Here is a 17,639-nt window from a genome sequence, read left to right on the forward strand (position 1 = left end):
GCTGCTGTGTGGATCAATGTGGCATATTCCTATTAGGATTCCATTGTAAGGAGAGACTGCAGTTTGTTTACCGGTTCCCCTGTTGCTGGATATTTGGGCTGTTTCTAGTCCGTGGCCACTGCAAACAAAGCTGCTGTGAACATTCGTGAATATTTGTAGACAAGTCTTTGTATGGACGTATATGCTTTCATTTCCCTTGACAAAAAACTTAGGGTCAAAGGTCTGGATCCTGTGGGAGGCATATCATTAACTTTTTTTTTTTTTTTTTTTTTGAGACGGAGTCTCGCTCTCCCCCAGGCTGGAGTGCAGTGGCGCGATCTCGGCTCACTGCAAGCTCTGCCTCCCAGGTTCATGCCATTCTCCTGCCTCAGCCTCCCGAGTAGCTGGGACTACAGGCACCCGCTACCATGCCCGGCTAATTTTTTTGTATTTTTGGTAGAGATGGGGTTTCACCATGTTAGCCAGGATGGTCTTGATCTCCTGACCTTGTGATCCGCCCGCCTCGGCCTCCCAAAGTGCTGGGATTACAGGCGTGAGCCACCGCACCTGGCCACATATCATTAACTTTTTAATAAACTGTCAAACTGCTATTAAAAGTGGCTGTTCCATTTTCTGCCCCCACCAGCAGTGTCAGTTTCTCCACATCCTCAGTTATTTGATATCTTGGTCTGCTCATGCTGCTCTAGCAAAATACCACAGAAAGGCGGTGGGGGTTAAACCACAAAAGTTAATTTTCCCACCGTTCTAGAGGCTGGAAGTCCCTGACCAAAGTGCTGCTAGATTTGATTCCCCGTGAGGGCTCTCTCCTGGCTTGTTGACAGCCACCTCCTTGCTGTATCCTCACAGGGCCTTCACAAGTGCACACATGCAGAGAAAAAAGAGCAAACTCTCTGGTGTCTCTTCTCATAAGGACACTAATCCTATTGGATCAGGGCCCCACCTCTAGGACCTCATTTTACCTTAATTGCTTCCTTAGAGGCCCATCTCCAATACAGCCCCACTGGGGGCTAAGGCTTCAGTATACGAATTTTGGAGGGACACAGACATTCAACCATGACACTCCACATCCTCATCAACACTTGATACTGTCAGTCTTTTTCATTTTAGCCATTTTAATGTGTGGACAGTGGCATTTTATGGTGGTTTTAATTTCCGTGGTAACTAATGATGTCGATCATCTTTTTTTTGTGTTTTGATCTGAATTTCTATGTCTTCTTTGAGGGATTTTCTATTCAAAACTTTTGCCCATTTTTTAATGGTGTTATTAGTTTTCTTATTATTGAATTTTGGGAGTTCTTTAAGGCATGCTGGAGTCTTATCAGATTCATCATTTGCAAATATTTTCTCCTGCTTTGTTGCCAATCTCTTCATTCTCTTAAACATGTCTTTTGCAGAGCAGAAGTTTTACATTTTGATGAATTCTAGTTTATTCATTTATTTTGGCGTTGAATTTAAGAAATTTCTGCCTAACCTACAAAGATTTTCTCATATGTTTTCTTCTGGAAGTTTTATAGTTTTAGGTTTTACATTTAGATCTATAATCCATTTTGAGTTCATTTTTTATATGGCCCTGGGGTATAGATCAATGTTCCCTCTTCCATGTGGCTATTCCGTTGTTTTAGCACTGCTTGTTGAAAAGACCCTCTTTTCTTCACTGAGAGTCTTTTGTCAAAAACCAATTGTCCATGTGTGTATGGCTCTATTTCTGAGCATTTTATAAACACACTGTCTTGGTTACTACAGCTTTATAAAGTCTAAAAATCAGCTAGTGTAAATCCTCCAACTTTGCTCTTATCTTCCAACGATGTTCTGGTTGTTATAGGGCCTTTGCCTTTCTATGTGAATTTTAGAATGAGTTTGTCAAATCCTCTTCGAAAAAAAAGCCTTTTGAGACTTCAGTTGGGATTTTGCTGAATGTGCAGATCAATTTGGGGATAACTTCTGTCTTACGCACATGGAGTCTCAGCCCATGAAGATGGTGTAAGTTTTCATTTCTTATGTCCTCTTTCGTTTACTCAGCAATGTTTTCTCATTTTATGTGTACAAGACTTTCACACCTTCTATCAGATTTATCCCTAGTTCATAATTTTGATGTTACGACAAGTGTGTTGTTCTTTCCATTTTAATTTCTGGCTGTCCGTTGCTGGGGTATGGAAATGCAGTGACTCTTGGCATTGATCTTGACCTTGCAACCTTGTGATGCTCACTCTTCAGCTCCAGCAGCTTTTTGTTTCGTGAATTCCATTAGATTTTTTTGCATAGATGAACTTGTCTTCTGCAAATAAAGACAGTATTATTCTTTTCTTCCCAATAACGATGCCTTTCATTTTCTTTTTTCCTTCCTAATTGCCCTGACTAGAACCTCCTGTGCAATGCTGAATGGGACCATTGAGAGTGCTGTCCCTGACTTGTTCCTGGCCTCAGGGGAAGCACTCAGTCTTTCACAAGTAGGTGTGATGTCAGCTGTCGGGTGTTCAGAGATGCCTTTTATCAGGTTGAAGAAGTTGCTTCTACTCCTGTTTGCCAAGAGTGTTTTGAGAATGCATGTTGGAATTTGTCAAATGCTTTTTCTGTGTCTATTGAGACAATCACATTGTTCTTCTTTCAGTTTGTTAATATGGTGACTTAAATTGATTTTTACGTGTTCAATCCTTAAGACAATCCTGATATATTGGGGAAAATTCTCCTTGGTTATGATGTATCATCTTTTTAATATGTTGTTGGGTTCAATTTAGTAAGCTTTTGTTTAGGACTTCTAAAGGGGGATGCTTGTTCCTATATTCTTCTCCTGTAATGTCTTTGGTTTTCATATCAAGATCATGCTGGCCTCCTGGAAGGACTTGAGAAAAATCCCTGCTTTTCAACTTTCTGGAAGAGCTTATGTAGAATTGCTATTAGCTCTTTCTTAAATGTTGGCTGGAGCTCCCCTGTGAAGCCGTCTAAGCCCGGGGTTATTTTGTATGTGAGAGGGGAAGATTTTTAACTACAGATTCAATTTGCTCATCAGCCTTCTGCTGCCTCTCAGGGGCCCTCTGTGCCTTTCCAGGGTTCTCGCTAGGTGCAGCTCCCCTCTCTCACCCTCTGCCCTGCAAGCTGTGGCTGCCTTGGTCTCCCCGACTCTCAGCGTCCTCAACTCAGGAGATCCCTGGCTCCACCTGCGTCACCTCCCAGCACTGTGACCTGGAAACTCTCTCCGGGAGGTCGGCCGGGCCCTCAGAGGGCTCATCGCGTCCGTGTCCCATTTCTCGGGTCACGGCTCCTTTTTGTCTGATGCCCATTGCCTTGAGGACCCTGGTTTCAATAGTCTTGTCTCTTATTTAGTTGTTTTGGGCAGATAAGTACATTCAGCCCCTGTCACTCCATCTTGTCTAGAAGTGGAAGTCTACTGTCTTTTATTTCTTTCACTAGAATAGTAATTTAATACATGTTTATTGTAGGAAATCTAGAAATACAAAGATACATGAAGAAAATGGTAGGAATCACTTATAGTCTCACCGACAGCTAACACGTTTAGTGTTCTCAACAGCACAATATTCTCCATCTCTGCTGAGACCCATCCCAGCAGAGGGGTGCCCGCACGGCGAGGCCGGCACAGGCCCGCGTGGGACCCACTGCCAACGCCGAAGCCAGGGTGTGACCTCTAGCTGCAGGGCCAAGGCACTGAGGGGCAGCCCCACTCACCCCTCCTTCCAACCTCTCCAGCAACAATCGGTGAGCCCCGACCCTGCCTGGAACCCTGGGGCCAGGTCGTCTGTCTGGACAGCGGCCTACAGGGAACGCACCAGAAGGTGTGGTGGGGTGGTGCCTCCCACCAAATCCACCAAAATTTGAGGAGCAGCCGCATCAAGCCCCTTTCATTGCACGTCTGAATCCCCACGCGTGGCGTTTCCTTAGAGGCAATTTCTGAAAAAGGGATTTCTGCTCAAAGTGTGTGAGCCTGTCAGGCTCTGCCCAGTATGCCAAGTCTGCAGGACCGCGTCACATTTGACCAGATAATTATTTGGGAACAGCACCCGCATGGAGCAGCCCCACAGAAGCTTCGAGCCCACACCTGGGTTCTGGCCCATTGTGTTCACGCCCCCCACACCCCGCCCGACCCCAGCTGCCGCAGGAGGGCCGGCTGATAGAGGTGGTGCAGACATTGGTCCTCACAGCCGGGCAGCCTTGAGGGGACCACACACCGCCCCGCCCAGGGCCTCCAGCACCTCGGCTCACTGCCCCGGTTCCAGCAGGAATGGGGGCCACACAACCCGAGAAACACAGACCACGCCACTGCCGAGCTGCACGAGCTTCAGCTGCAACAAATCGCCACAGAGCAGGCAGCTGCAACATCAGAAATGGACGTTCTCACAGCTCCAGGTCCAAAGTGGTTTCACTGGGCACAATAAAGGTGTAAGGTGTCTGCAGGACTCCTCGAGGCTCCTGCCGCCTCAGCCCCCGCGCTGCCCCCTTGGCCTCCCTCTCGTGGCCAGCAGAGCAGCACAGCGCTGGTGACACGTGGTCTGGTGGGGCAGACCTCCCCTGCTAAGAACACCAGAGGCGCCTCAGTCCCACCCGGATGATCCGAGATAATCCCCCGTCTCAGGGCCTCTCACTGAGTCCCCCCTGCAAACATTCCTGCCAGGTGAGGTCACTTTCCAGGGATTGGGGCCCGGACATTCCAGGGCCATCACTCAGCCCACCACACAGTGAAAGCACAGGATGCAGTGTCACAATCAGACCAAAGAACTGTTCCTTAGCTCCTCTTAGGGGCAGAATAGAGAGCACAGGGCTGAGGAGTGGCCCCCTCATGGTCCCCCTATCTCACCTGCCTCAGGTCACCTCCAGACCCTTTAACACCCAATGGTGACATTTCAGAGGCAAGGAACAGATGGACAGAAATCAGGGATTTGTGCCTGCAGGGAGTGGTGGGCGGGGTTCAGGGCTGAGCGAAGGAAGCTCCGGCAGACAGGTCCTGGCAGGAGGCTGCAGAGAGGAGGCGGCACCTGAGCCCGAAGGGAGCAGCTGGGGAAGAGGTGTCTGGATGGGACATGCCTGCCACTGACCCAAGTCTGTTCCTGTGGGTTACCCATTTCCCACGTAGACTTCTTAAGGATGGCAGCCTGGGCAATGCCCTTGTCTCTGTCCCCAACGCACACCTGGAACTGAGGGGGGAACGCATCTGTAGTGAAAGGAAGAGAAAGAGTAAAGCTGCAGCAACTCTTGGAGGGCTGAACCTGGGAGCCCAGGGAGGTGAAAGCAGATGGAGGCCCCAGTCCTGGGGAGGTGAAGGCAGGGGCAGAGGGGCCTTGATGGTGGTGGGGCGTGGTGGGGGCGTTGCAGAAACAGCAGCCAGGCTGGTGACTCTGGGGACTCCCCCTGCAGGGAGAGGGAGGCCCCGGCTAAAGGCCAAGGCTGCCCCGCACCCAGCGAGCTGTGCAAACAGCCAGCAGAAGGCCCACCGGCCCTCTGGGGACAGAGCTGAACTCACCCTGGGCTCTGCAGTACCACCAGGGGCAGCCTGCTGCTACAGGGCGGGCTCACACCTGGGGGAGCTGTGGGCAAGCAGGCCCTACCTTGGGGGCTGGCACTGCTGTGGGTCCCCTGGCTTTCACAGACCGACCACTCATGCCACCGGCACCAAGCGGACCTGGGACCTGCACGCCCTCGGCTCATCTGAGGGTGATACTGATGGGCTGTGCAAGGTCCCCAGACGCTGATGGGACCTCGATCCCAGCCAGTGTCAGGGCTCTTGACACCACCGCGAGAAGGAATTCAAGGACAAGTCCGAAAATAGTCAAAGTACAGAGATTTATTGCAAAGTGAAAAGTCTACACTCAAGAGGGGAGTTCGCGTGGACTCACAAGACAGTCGCGCAGTGAGGTTTGGGGCTGCTGCCTTTATGGGTTTTTTTTTAAACCAAGGGGCAGAGTCCAAGAAGATTCCTGGAAAAAGGTGGAGATTTCTCAGAACTGTGGTCCCACCAGTTTTTACTCCAAACATGGGTGTTCCCAGAACTGTCCTGGCACCCATGGGTGTGGGATTTAGGATTTTTTTTTTTTTTTTTTTGAGACAGAGTCTCACTCTGTTACCCAGGCTGGAATGCAGTGGTGCGATCTCAGCTCACAGCAACCTCTGTCTCACGGGTTCAAGCAATTCTCCTGCCTCAGCCTCCCGAGTAGCTGGGATTACAGGCATATGCCACCACACCCAGCTAATTTTTGTATTTTTGTAGAGACAGCGTTTCACCACGTTGGCCAGGCTGGTCTTGAACTCGTGACGTCAGGTGATCTGCCTGCCTCGGCCTCCCAAAGTGCTGGGATTACAGGCGTGAGCCACCACACCTGGCCTGGGATTTAGGATGTTAATGAGCGTATCATGAGGTCCTAGGTGAAACCCGGGTCAAATCCAGCACCGGGGTGGGTCCAGTTGGTCTTAGCCAGCTGGGCCCGCACTCTGGTTTTCAGGGTCTTACAGCCTGAAATCTATTTCAACAGTTCCCTTTGGCTGGTCCTGGAAAACTGCTGCCTGGAATTTTCTATCCTCTTGCAACCACCCTGTATGATTCCTGTCTCAGGGGATCTGAACTCCTGTTCCCAGGGGGAAGACAGCAGGAAGCCAATACACACACACACTGTGGGCAGAGAGAAACCAAGTGGCAGAGGGGAGAGAGACAAGAGGGGCCGCCCCCGCCGAGCAGGGCCTGGTTGGGGGAGGAGCCACTCGGGGCCCTGGGCGGAGACAGAAGGGGCAGCAGGTGCGAAGCTGGCAGGTTCAGCCCGGGCCAGGGGAGCCGAGAGAGGTGCGGCGAGGGGCAGGGAGGCAGGAAACAGTGTGCCAGGCCCCTGGGCCTTGAGAGGGGTTAGGGTTGAACTCTGAGTGCAACAAGAGGCCCAGGAAGTTTCCAGCACGGAGGCAGACAGGACCTAGTGTGACAGCGAGGCTCCCATAGTGCCGTGCGCCAGCTAGCATTATAAGGACTTTGCATTTATTAACTATTCTTATTTCAATGTACGGAAAAGGCTGAGGCCAGACGCACAGGCAGCTGCGCCAGGCTGGGACTCCCCACTGGCAGCCACCATGGGGCTCTGGAAGCCCCTCCTGTGCTGAATGGAGAGCCCCAGGATCTTTGCTCATCTCAATCTTTGTCAATTCTTCCGACACCCCTCACAAATGTGAGTGGTTGGTCTAAGCTGGTCACAGTGGGAGAACCCCTGGCTTTGGGGATTGGCTCACGGTGGTCCAATCAGCACAAAGCCCTGTTGCGGTCACAGCCACCCCAAGATGGGAGGGGCAGCGTGGGCAGAGGGTGGAAATGGCCCCCCATCTCAACCATCCCACAGCCCTGGATCAGCCATGCCTGAAGCCCCTGCTGCCCTGAGCTGCCCAGCTCTGGGAGCAGTGAAGGTTCTGGGAGCCAGTGAAGGTTTTGAGGGGTGGGCAGTGTGAGAAGAGGCTCCTGTTCGTTGCACCTGGAGCATCCTGAAGGTAGCAGGAAGGTTGTAGAACCGGGATGGGGCCACAAGACAGGAGGAAAGGAAAAGCAGGGGAGGGGAGGGGCAGGGCAGGGGAAAGGGGGCCGTGGAGGTGCTCGGGGGGCATCAGGAGCAGAATCCACACCTTGTCACCCCCACAGCCCCCACCTCTGCAGATCTCCAAGGCTTGAGGAGCCCCTCACACTCACTGAATGAGCCCTGAGGACCCCTGACGGGGCCTCCAGACTCAGAGTCCTGTTTGTGGGGCCACGGCCCAGCCTGCCCTTGCTAAGTAACTCTGAACTCGATTTAGACACTGGGGAAGGATTCTGAATTCAGTCCAGCGTGAATGCAGCCGTGAGGCCAGGGTGAGGCGGCCCTCACGGTGGTGATTGCCTAGAAGTTTCTTATGAAGCAGCACACACATAGTGTGACCGTCTATATGGGACTCAAAACAGGCAGAGACACCCGTGGAGACAGAGGTTAGAGCCACAGCCACGTGGCCAGGGTGGTGTGGACCTGTTTCTGGATCTGCCGCTTTAAAGTGTGTGTTTGGTTCGTGAACACTTGCTGGGGGTCCACTTACGCTTTGTGAAACTGGGCTGGGAACCTCACCTTGTAGAAGCTGCTGGAAGCAGAACACAGCATCCCTATGAGGGGGTGTGCAACTTTTAGGGGGCTGTGTCCCACAGCACAATGGGTAACTCATTTGTTTGAAAGCTGTAAGGCAAAACACATTTTTTTCTTTGCCTTTTTGTTGGTAGTCTGCATAAACTCAGCTGTTTTCTAGAAGTCAGCAAATAGCCATCCGTTTCCCTCCATGATGCCAAGGGGCCAGATGTTCGGGGAATTGCCCAGCAGACGTGGCTGCACCCCTCTGAGAGCCAGCCCAACCCAGCTCCGGCCTTGGTGGCTCCTGGTGGAAAAGCCTCTGCCCCCAAGCGTCCCCTTGGTCCAGGAGAAAGGCGGAGGCAGCCCGGCTGCTCATGCCAGCACAGCCTCCATCAAATTAAACATTCTATCCATTTACTTGATGGATGTTTGACCAGAGGAATCCAAAATTTAAATGTAAGCAGTGAGCCTGCTTTAAAGTGAATGGCTCATTAGGAAACAAAGCATCCCATGAGATCAATACTTGGCTTCTGAGCTCTGCTTTTCTGAAGGGATCGCTAAACGCCAGCAGGCAGGAGCAGCCAGGAGCTCCAATACCTTGGAGGGGGCGTTGAGCAGGCATCTGCACCAGCTAGGTTTTGGGGTGACTGCACCCCTTGAGTTGTGCGGCTGGGTGTCTTCTGGTGACGGACAAGCATGCTTCTCACTGTGGGAGCTGTCACCATCGCACACACCAGGCCCTGTTGAGACGTCAGGGCAGTAACAGGGAAGCTTCCTCAGGCTCAGAAGGAACAGATGGGCCCTGTCGGGGAGTCGGGGAGTCAGGGAGCCGAGGCCAGCCATGGAAGTCCTCAGCCAGGGAGGGTCCACATCTGGGGGAATCATGCCCAGGTGTGAGGCCCTGGGCTGGACAACAGCAGAGACAGGATGACCCAGGGGTGGTCTGCTGGTCCTGGCCCTCGTCCCCTGCTGGGAGGATGTCCAGTTAGGCCTGGAGCAGTGCCAGACCGTCCACCGCAGCCAGTGGGGGCTGCTGACGAGGATGCCTCCGATGTGTTTATCCACAGTGTCACTTCCTTTTTATTATAAAGGGAATGTGTTTCCTTTTGGGAACTTGAGAAAATACAGATTGGCAAAATGAGGACAATGCAAATCGATCGTATTCCAGCCACTCAGATACAATGACTGTTGGTGTTTATTCCACTGCGTGACATTTCATCTGGACATGGGGCCCCACTGTTGGTGTCCATCACTGTGCACCATCCTTGTGACCGGATGCTCCACGTTCCCTGCGTGCACACACTACAAAGCCCAGCCCGCTTTGTAGACATTTGGTTATTTCCAGATTCTCACTATTGTGAATAACACAGCAATGAATACTGTGGTGACCTTATGTCGTTCATCTGCCTAATGTCTATTTGGGGACCCTCCCCCAACTCTTGGCTTGGTTGGGGCTGGTCCCACTCCCAGCTCCAGGTGTGGGTGAGTCAGGCTGGGCTAGTCAGAGCCTCTCACCCTCCTAGTCACAGAAATGGGGTTGGGGATGGTTGCGTGGCCTGAGCCAAACCCATCAGAGCCCTCCCAGGGCTTCTGCCGAAATGCAGGGAAGGAGACACCCTCTGTTACTGGAGCTTGCTGGCCCCCGAGGGGACCTCTGGCCCACCATGGGGGAGAGCCAAGCTGGAAAGTATCAGGGCTGTAAGAGACTTGAGTGGATAGGACTTGAGTGGACAGGACCTGAGTGGACAGGACCTGAGTGGACAGGACTTGAGTGGGCAGCTCTCCAGGGGAGACGTGGAGATGGCCAGTTGGCACATGTAAAGATGCTCAGCACCTGTAATCACCAGGGGAGTGCAGGGAAAAGTTACACCCATTAGGATGGCTACTATTAAAAAAAAAAACAAAACAGAAAATGACAAGTGTGAGGATGTGGAGAGACTGAAACCCTTGCGCTCTGCTGGCGGAGTGTAAGATGGTGCAGCCGCTATGGAAACCAGTATGGCGGTTCCTCAGAAAATTAAAAATAGAATTACCATAGGAGCCAGCAACCCCCTTGTGGGTCTATACCCAGAAGAATTGCGGGTCTGGAAAAGACCTTTGTAGCCCATGTTCACAGCCGCGTTGTTCACGTTGGCTAAACGCCGGAGCAGCGGCGCCTCCAGGGAGGGTGGATGGGTGAACACGATGTGGGCCCCACGACAGCAGGACCGATGCAGCCTTTGAAGGAAGGGAATTGGGACGCAGCTGCCAGGGGTAAGCGTCGGGCCACGAAGGCCACGGGCCTGGGTCTCGCGTGGGGCCTTCATTGGGAGGAACAGCGAAGAGGCCACCCCCGCCCTCAGCCGTTCGTGCACTTGGTCCAGGCGGGACCCGGCAGGACCCCCAGCAGCCCCGGGAAGCGCCCGGACGACGGCACGGGGGCCCCAGGGCGCCGCGAAGGAAGCCCCCCGAGGGCGAGGCCGGGCGAGGCCAGGGGGCCGGGGCCAGAGGCGGTCGCGGCGGGGGTGGGTGTCCTGGAGCAGGAGCGGCAGCGGGAAACGAAGACACGCGCTTCTTCCTACTGGGGGGATGGCTGGGAAGTAAGACCGGCCGGGCCGCCGAGCCCGCTGCGAGGGGCTTCGCGTGGCGGCCGCACCTGAGCCCGAGCGCGCCCTTGAGAGGCGGCGCCCACGGGGGCAGAGACCCACGGTCCACGCGCAGACCCGGAGAACCCGCGATGTCGCCGCACGCAGCGCCGCTGTGAAGGACGGAGGCGGGGCGGGGCCCTGGGACAGGGAGCGGGTGGGGGCGGGGTGGGGGGAGGGCCCGTCCGGGCCTGCGCGGGAAGCCCTGGGTTGGCCTTGGTGCTCTGTGATGCCCACGCTGGGTGCAAATGTTGCTTTGGTAAAAATAACAACAACGAAAGGAAAAGCCAAGCCGGACCAGCCCCACCCGCAGGGCCCCGGCCCCGGCCCCGGCCCCGCCCTTGGACTCTTCCCCGCCCCACCCCCACCCGTGGGCGAGCGAGCCCGGACCGTGAAGGGAGGGGGCGGGGCGGGGGCCCGGAGGGGCGGGGAGGGGCCGGGTCCTCCCGCGCGGGGTCCTGGAGGTCGCGGCACGCGCTCCCTGCAGGCGACCCTGGGGCGCGTCTGTCCCAGGCCCGGGCAGGACCCCCGCCCGCTGGTTGTCTGCGCGGCTGCCCCGCGCCCGCCGCCCCCGGCCGCTGTCGCGCGTTCCCAGACATTCTTTGGGCCCAAGGCTCCGGGCGTTCTGGCGGCGGCGCTGGGAAGAGGCCGGGCGCCGGCTCCCACAGCCGGGCCCTGTCCCGCTGGGCGCGGGCGATGCCATTCGTCACGCTCTATTATTGTAGGCAGCGCACCCCGGGGCTCGGTTCCCACACTGCGCCTGAGGCCTGGGGCCTGAGCGTGGGCCGCACCCGCCGACCTGGGGGGCCCTGGAGGGAGCGGCTCGGAGGGGCGCCGGTGCCTGGGCAGGTGGATCTGGGAAAGATGCCACTGTTCCTGCCACGTCACTGCTGGCTGCAGGGTCCTGAGGTGGTGGCGGTGGTCCGTGGCCTGTGTCAGCTGTCATGTGCCGGCTGCAGGGGGCGGACAGGCCAAGGGACCCACCCCGACTTTACGATTAGAGTGTTGGGCCAAGGGTTTCTCTGGTTAAAGACCTGATGACCCTCCCATTGACAGCCACGGCCCAGCCAAGACCAGCACTACGCATCCCCTGGGCACACACCCCGGTGTCAGGACTCACCATGTGAGATCTAACCTGGCGGGCGCTATTTCCAGCCACACTGGAGGTCGGAGTCCAGACTCAGTTTCCTCACCTGGGAGACCGCATGGTAGCACCCTCTCCAGAGGTGTCTGCATGGCGCTCCGAGAAGGGCCTGGCACCCCTGTCTATGGAAGCATGTTTAAGTTCTCCCATCCACACACAGAATGCCGCTGCCTCTGCTGCCACAGTCGCATGACACAAACCACAGTTACGGGACCTGGACTCTGGAGAAACGCAGAGAACCCACGGGGCCTGGCCCTCCGCCCTCACGAGCTCCACAAGGACTCAGCGGTGACCTGTGTGAGTGAGAGTGTGTGGTCCCATCGGGACAAAGGGAGCCACGTGGCCCACTCTTGGGCTGGAAGACAGGAAAGTAGAACTGTTTTCCCCCAAAAGTGAGCAGGGCAGCCACCTGCCTGGCAACACGGGTTCCCCACACTGGGAAAACTGAGGTCAATCAGTTCGACCTGTACCTGTGCCACAGCCACTGTCTCTGCAGACCCATGGGTGCGACCTGAACACTAGGAACAGGCCTGTGCCCTGCTCCCCAGTGGAGGTGTCTGCTCCCGCCTGTGCACACTCAGGGTCAGTTGTCATGGGGGCCATCTGATCACTGCTGCTCCTTAGCAGCCAGGACAAGCCCAGGGACGCTGCACACTGCCAAGCCCACTTCATGCAAGTCCTGGCCGGAAGTCCATGCGATTCATGCAGAATTATGTCCCCACCCCCACCCCTCCCGCAGCCTCCACAGAGCCTGACCTGAGCTGTGGGCGGTCACTGGGGAGCAGTGACCAGAAGGCACATGGTCTATGCCCAGTGAGACCCCAGCCACTGCCTGCCTTCTCTTTCCGGCGGGTCCTGGGACCACCTCCCAGATAGATGACTTACACTCAAATCCTGGACTTGAGATCTAGTTCTGAAGAAACCAAACCAAGATGGGCAAAACGTCCACAAAAAGAGAAACACGAATAGCCAACAACGACATGAAAAATGTTTAGGAATCTAAGAGAGACAAATTCTAAGGGGAGATCGTATTTCACCCTCCAGACTGACGACCTTCAGTGGCGTGGTAAGAAAGCCAGGCGTGGCGAGGCCAGCAGCACAGGATGTCCGCGCCTGACCCTCCCACGACCCTTCGGGAAGTCTTTTGGGCAATATGAACTGAGGTCATCAGAAACATGCGTTTCTGCATCTCAGCAATTTCACTGTGATGATTTACCCCAAGGAACTAATTGGATAATCGTGCAAAGAGATTCAGGTGTGTATAAGATACTCAATGCAGGGCAAGGGCCAGGGCCAGGGATGGCTCTATCAGCAACGGGGGAAGAGGGCCAGGCCGAGGGAACATCGGGAGGCCAGTGCCAGCGGGAACCCGTGTCCCTGTGCCTCACAGCCCCTCCCCAGACTGTCCAGCCAGTCCAGGAATCTCCCAGTCCCCCGTGATCCTGGCCATACTCCCCTGGGAGTAGCAGGAAGGTGGCCGAAAAACACAAAGCCACAGCCAACTCCCTGCACCAGCTGAGGTCCAGTGATCTCGGACACACAGGGCACTGAGAACGTGGGCTGGACGGACACGTGGCCAGCTAGGCCCAGGACAGCCCGGACATGCTGCCCTCTTGGGTCTGATTCTCCTCCCTGGGACTTCAGGGTAAATAAGAGGCCAGAGGCCCTCTCTCCACTGGGATCGCCTGGCGGAGGGGCCACGGCCCTGGGGCTGGTGGGACCACAAGTGAGGCTGGCAGGGAGCCTGTAAAGTGAGCAGGACGAGAATCCTCTCCACAGAACAGTACGACGCCGAATAAGGATGCTAATGTGGCAAAAGCTCTCCATAAACAGTAAGCGCTGAGTGTGCAGAAATAATTTTATTTTTATCATCGCGTGTCCTGCTGTGCTGATCATCTGACTGCACGTTGAGACTGTGCTTTTCCGATCTCTCAGGTAGGGTGGCCCTACCAGGATCACTAACCCATGAGCAGGACAGGTGTGCAAGAGACCCCTGCTCACTCCAGTCCCCGCTCAGAGAACCATGGCCCCAGCAGGGTGCACGTGGCCTGCCCTTTGATCTAGTTGTCTTGGCCGATGACACAAGGTCATCATTCCTCAGCACTGGGTTGCCGCGGGAACAGAGAGGCCAAGGCCAGGCGAGTGTCCGTCCTGTCCAGTGGGATCCTTGCAGCGACCGGTGGAGCCTGTCAGAGCCCTGGGGCCAGGCCACCCAAACGCTGTGAGGTGGGGACAATGATAGAAGGGCCAGCACAGCACTCACTAAGAGACAATTGTAGTTCGTACATTTATAAAGAAAAGCCGGCCTCACACTGTGCACCCACCCCGTGACAAGACGCTTTTTCGTTTATGTCATGTAGCCATCGTGCAGAGCGTTTCTCCCGGGGCCTCGGGATGGGGCATCGTTGATTTCACCAGAGCCCCCGCACCCCATGTAAGGGGGCAGAAGGCCATGTGTAAGGGGGCAGAGGCCTTTTCCTGCCTCCACCTACCACACCCCAGGTCCCAGTGGGGAGCCCTCCCAGCACCAGGGGTCTTACACACACACAGAGGACTTCTATTTATGGCAGATCAGGGAACTTGGTTCCCTTCCCATCACTCCCACTGGAAGCAGAAAGTGCTGAGTGAAACACAAAACACACACAGTGTTTTCTCAGACACACGAGTGAGCTGGCAGGTGAGAAATGAACTCAGAAGCTGTAGCTGGCGCGTGGGCAGGAACCTGGAGGGCTGAGGGGAGCTCTGGGCTGGCTGGGCCTGCGAGGGCATTTATTGGATTACAAACGTGAACTTGAGCTTGGCCTGGAGGCCCGGGTGGAAGACGGCACAGCTCAGGGCGGACTGAAGAAGGGCAGTCTGGAGGGAGACCCTGTCCACATAAAGAACCACAAGAGGCTGGGCTAGAACAGCATTCTCTGGCCCCCACCCCTGGGCACTATCCCTGATTTGGGCACGGAGTGGAGGAGAAACCCTCTCCCTAAAGATTTGTGACCACAAGCTGGCACTCATGAGGTCAGCCCCCAAAAGTCACACAACCTGGGGGTCCAAAGCCCAGGATTTAATGTGAGTTGGTTTGAGACTGGTCAGGATTGCAGCAAACACAAGTTCTCTGTGGGAGAAACCAGGTCAACCCACACCTCAAGGCATTGCCGCACACATGTGGACCCATCGCGGAAACTCACAAAGCACACCAGGACTCAAGGCACATGGCGAGCTGGAAGCACACAGGCAGCAGAGCGTGGCTCACAGATCCTGCAGCTGTGGGATTTCCAGGGCAGAGGATATAACTCAGATGTGCTTAAGTAAGTAAAAAAGGGATTTAAAATAATGAATATAGAGTGTGTGATATAAAAATATGATAAAGCCAAATTGAAAAAGGCCAAATAGAATTTCTAGAAATGAAAACTAAATAGGTCAGGCATGATGGCTCACGACTATAATCCCAGCACTTTGGGAGACTGAGGTAGGAGAATCACTTACGGCCAGGAGTTCAAGACCAGCCTGGCCAACATGGCGAAACCCCATCTCTACAAAGATACAAACATTAGCTGGCACGGTGGTGCACACCTGTAGTCCCAGCTACTCAGGAGGCTGAGGTGGGAGGATTGCTTGAGCCCAGGAGGTTGAGGCGGCAGTGAGCTGAGATGACACCAATGCACTCCAGCCCAGGTGACAGAGCGAGAACCTGTCTCAAAATACATAAATAAAAAATAAAAGAAATGAAAACTAAGTGGATTAAAAATAGACGAAATTGAAAAAAAATTCAGTCATAGTAACACTTTAAAAAACCCTCAATGGATAGATTTAACTGCTGTTAGATATAGTTAAAGAAAAAGCTAGTGAAATGGAAGATTAATCTGAAGAAATAATCTCTAATCCAACACAGAGAAACAAAAACATGGACAATGTGAAGAGCACATGGTTCATAGAAAAGAAAGTGGCAAATATGTACAGCTAAACCCTATAAAGCAGACAATATGAAACAACACATGGACTGTCTAATGGGGCTAAGACAATAAAGATAAAACAAAATACAACACACAAGCGTGCATGGAGCAGGGGAGACTGACTTTAGACTGGAAGGGTCAGTAGGCAGTGAAATGACCAAGAAGACAGGAAGGGCAGGACACATAACTTTCACACTCATTCAGGGGAAGGAATGAGGGAAGTGTGATTTATTCAAAGAAAGCAAGAAAGGAGAGAAAAAAGGAAAAGAGAAGGTGAGATGACTATACGGTATAAAACAGACAGCTGGGTGCAGTGGCTCATGCCTGTAATCCCCACACTTTGGCAGGCCAAGGTGAGCAGATCACCTGAGGTCGGGAGTTTGAGACCAGCCTGGCCAACATGCAGAAACCCCGTCTCTACTAAAAATACAAAAAAATTAGCCAGGCGTGGTGGCGCACACCTGTAGTCCTAGCTACTTGGGAGGCTGAGGCAGGAGAATTGCTTGAACCTGGGAGGCAGAGGTTGCAGTGAGCCGAGATTGTACCACTGCACTCCAGCCTGGGCAACAGAGCAAGACTCCGTCTCAACAAATAAATAAATAAATAAAATAAAATCTGAATCATATGTCATATCTTAGTGGTGAAGTCTTGGAAGCATTCCCCCTTTTTAATTCTCATTTGATTACTTTCTTTTTCTTCAACTTTTATTTTAAGTTCTGGGTACATTTGCAGGATGTACAGGTTTGTTACATAGGCAAATGTGTGCCATGGTGGTTTACTGCACCTATCAATCCATCACCTAGGTATTAAGCCCAGCATGTGTTAGCTATTCTTCCTGATGCTCTCTCTCCCCTCATCCCGCCACCAACAGGACCCCATGTGTGTTGTTCCCCCGATGTGTCCATGTGTTCTCATCATTCAGCTCCCACATATAAATGAGAACATGTGGTGTTTGGTTTTCTGTTCCTGCATTAGCTTGCTGAGGATAATGGCTTCCAGCTCCATCCATGTGCCTGCAAAGGACATGATCTCTTTCCTTTTTATGGCTGCATAGTATTCCATGGTGTATATGGATGACGTTTTCCTTATCCAGTCTATCATGGATGAGCATTCAAGTTGATTCCATGTCTTTGCTATTGTGAATAGTGCTGGGTCAATTGGTGCTTCTGCCTGTAGGTCTTCAAGGAATCGCCACACTGTCTTCCACAATGGTTGAACTAATTTACACCCCACCAACAGTGTAAAAGCGTTCCTATTTCTCCACAACCTCATCAGCATCTGTTGTTTTTTGACTTTTTAGTAATAGCCATTCTGACTGGTGTCAGATGGTATCTCGTTGTGGTTTTGATTTCTCTAATGATCAGTGATGTTGAGCTTTTTTTGTGTGTGTTTGTTGGCCCCGCATGTATGTCTTCTTTTGAGAAGCATCTCTTCATGTCCTTTGCCCACTTTTTAATGGGATTGTTTTGTTTTTTCTCATAAATTTGTATAAGTTCCTTTTAGACTCTGGATATTAGACATTTGTCAGATGGATAGATTGCAAAAATTTTCTCCCCTTCTGTAAGTTGTCTTTTCACTCTGATGATAGTGTCTTTTGTTGTGCAGAAGCTCTTTAGTTAGATCCCATTTGTCAATTTTTTTCTTTTGTTGCCATTGCTTTTGGCATTTTCATCATGAAATCTTTGCCTGTGCCTATGTCCTGAATGGCATCGCCTAGATTTTCTTCTAGGGTTTTTATAGTTTTGGGTTTTACATGTAAGTCTTTAATCCATCTCAAGTTAATTTTTGTATATGGTGTAAGGAAAGGATCCAGTTTCAATTTTCTGCATATGGCTAGCCAGTTCTCCCAGCACCATTT

General features: G+C 53.2%; 7 annotated features.

Annotated features, from left to right (window-relative positions):
• Nucleotides 3,978-5,177: an enhancer, noted in NCBI's record as "P300/CBP strongly-dependent group 1 enhancer chr21:46431794-46432993 (GRCh37/hg19 assembly coordinates)". NCBI's record gives its function as "activates an origin of replication core promoter dependent on BRD2, BRD4, P300/CBP, MED14 and CDK7 cofactors, with strong dependence on P300/CBP, by STARR-seq in HCT116 cells {active_cell/tissue: HCT116}" and the evidence as "EXISTENCE:reporter gene assay evidence [ECO:0000049][PMID:35650434]".
• Nucleotides 3,978-6,032: a biological region, named in NCBI's record as "P300/CBP strongly-dependent group 1 enhancer GRCh37_chr21:46431794-46432993".
• Nucleotides 4,063-5,048: an enhancer, noted in NCBI's record as "H3K27ac-H3K4me1 hESC enhancer chr21:46431879-46432864 (GRCh37/hg19 assembly coordinates)". NCBI's record gives its function as "activates a minimal SCP1, AML or CMV promoter by ChIP-STARR-seq in naive and primed H9 embryonic stem cells {active_cell/tissue: H9 hESC(naive and primed)}" and the evidence as "EXISTENCE:reporter gene assay evidence [ECO:0000049][PMID:30033119]".
• Nucleotides 4,813-5,107: a silencer, noted in NCBI's record as "tiled region #531; HepG2 Repressive non-DNase unmatched - State 1:Tss". NCBI's record gives its function as "represses a minimal TATA promoter and a strong SV40 promoter by Sharpr-MPRA in HepG2 cells {active_cell/tissue: HepG2}" and the evidence as "EXISTENCE:reporter gene assay evidence [ECO:0000049][PMID:27701403]".
• Nucleotides 5,049-6,032: an enhancer, noted in NCBI's record as "H3K27ac-H3K4me1 hESC enhancer chr21:46432865-46433848 (GRCh37/hg19 assembly coordinates)". NCBI's record gives its function as "activates a minimal SCP1, AML or CMV promoter by ChIP-STARR-seq in primed H9 embryonic stem cells {active_cell/tissue: H9 hESC(primed)}" and the evidence as "EXISTENCE:reporter gene assay evidence [ECO:0000049][PMID:30033119]".
• Nucleotides 8,893-9,393: an enhancer, noted in NCBI's record as "H3K4me1 hESC enhancer chr21:46436709-46437209 (GRCh37/hg19 assembly coordinates)". NCBI's record gives its function as "activates a minimal SCP1, AML or CMV promoter by ChIP-STARR-seq in naive H9 embryonic stem cells {active_cell/tissue: H9 hESC(naive)}" and the evidence as "EXISTENCE:reporter gene assay evidence [ECO:0000049][PMID:30033119]".
• Nucleotides 11,059-11,932: an enhancer, noted in NCBI's record as "H3K27ac-H3K4me1 hESC enhancer chr21:46438875-46439748 (GRCh37/hg19 assembly coordinates)". NCBI's record gives its function as "activates a minimal SCP1, AML or CMV promoter by ChIP-STARR-seq in naive H9 embryonic stem cells {active_cell/tissue: H9 hESC(naive)}" and the evidence as "EXISTENCE:reporter gene assay evidence [ECO:0000049][PMID:30033119]".

Source organism: Homo sapiens, chromosome 21 (genome assembly GCF_000001405.40).
Source record: "Homo sapiens chromosome 21, GRCh38.p14 Primary Assembly".
Lineage (NCBI taxonomy): Eukaryota > Metazoa > Chordata > Mammalia > Primates > Hominidae > Homo > Homo sapiens.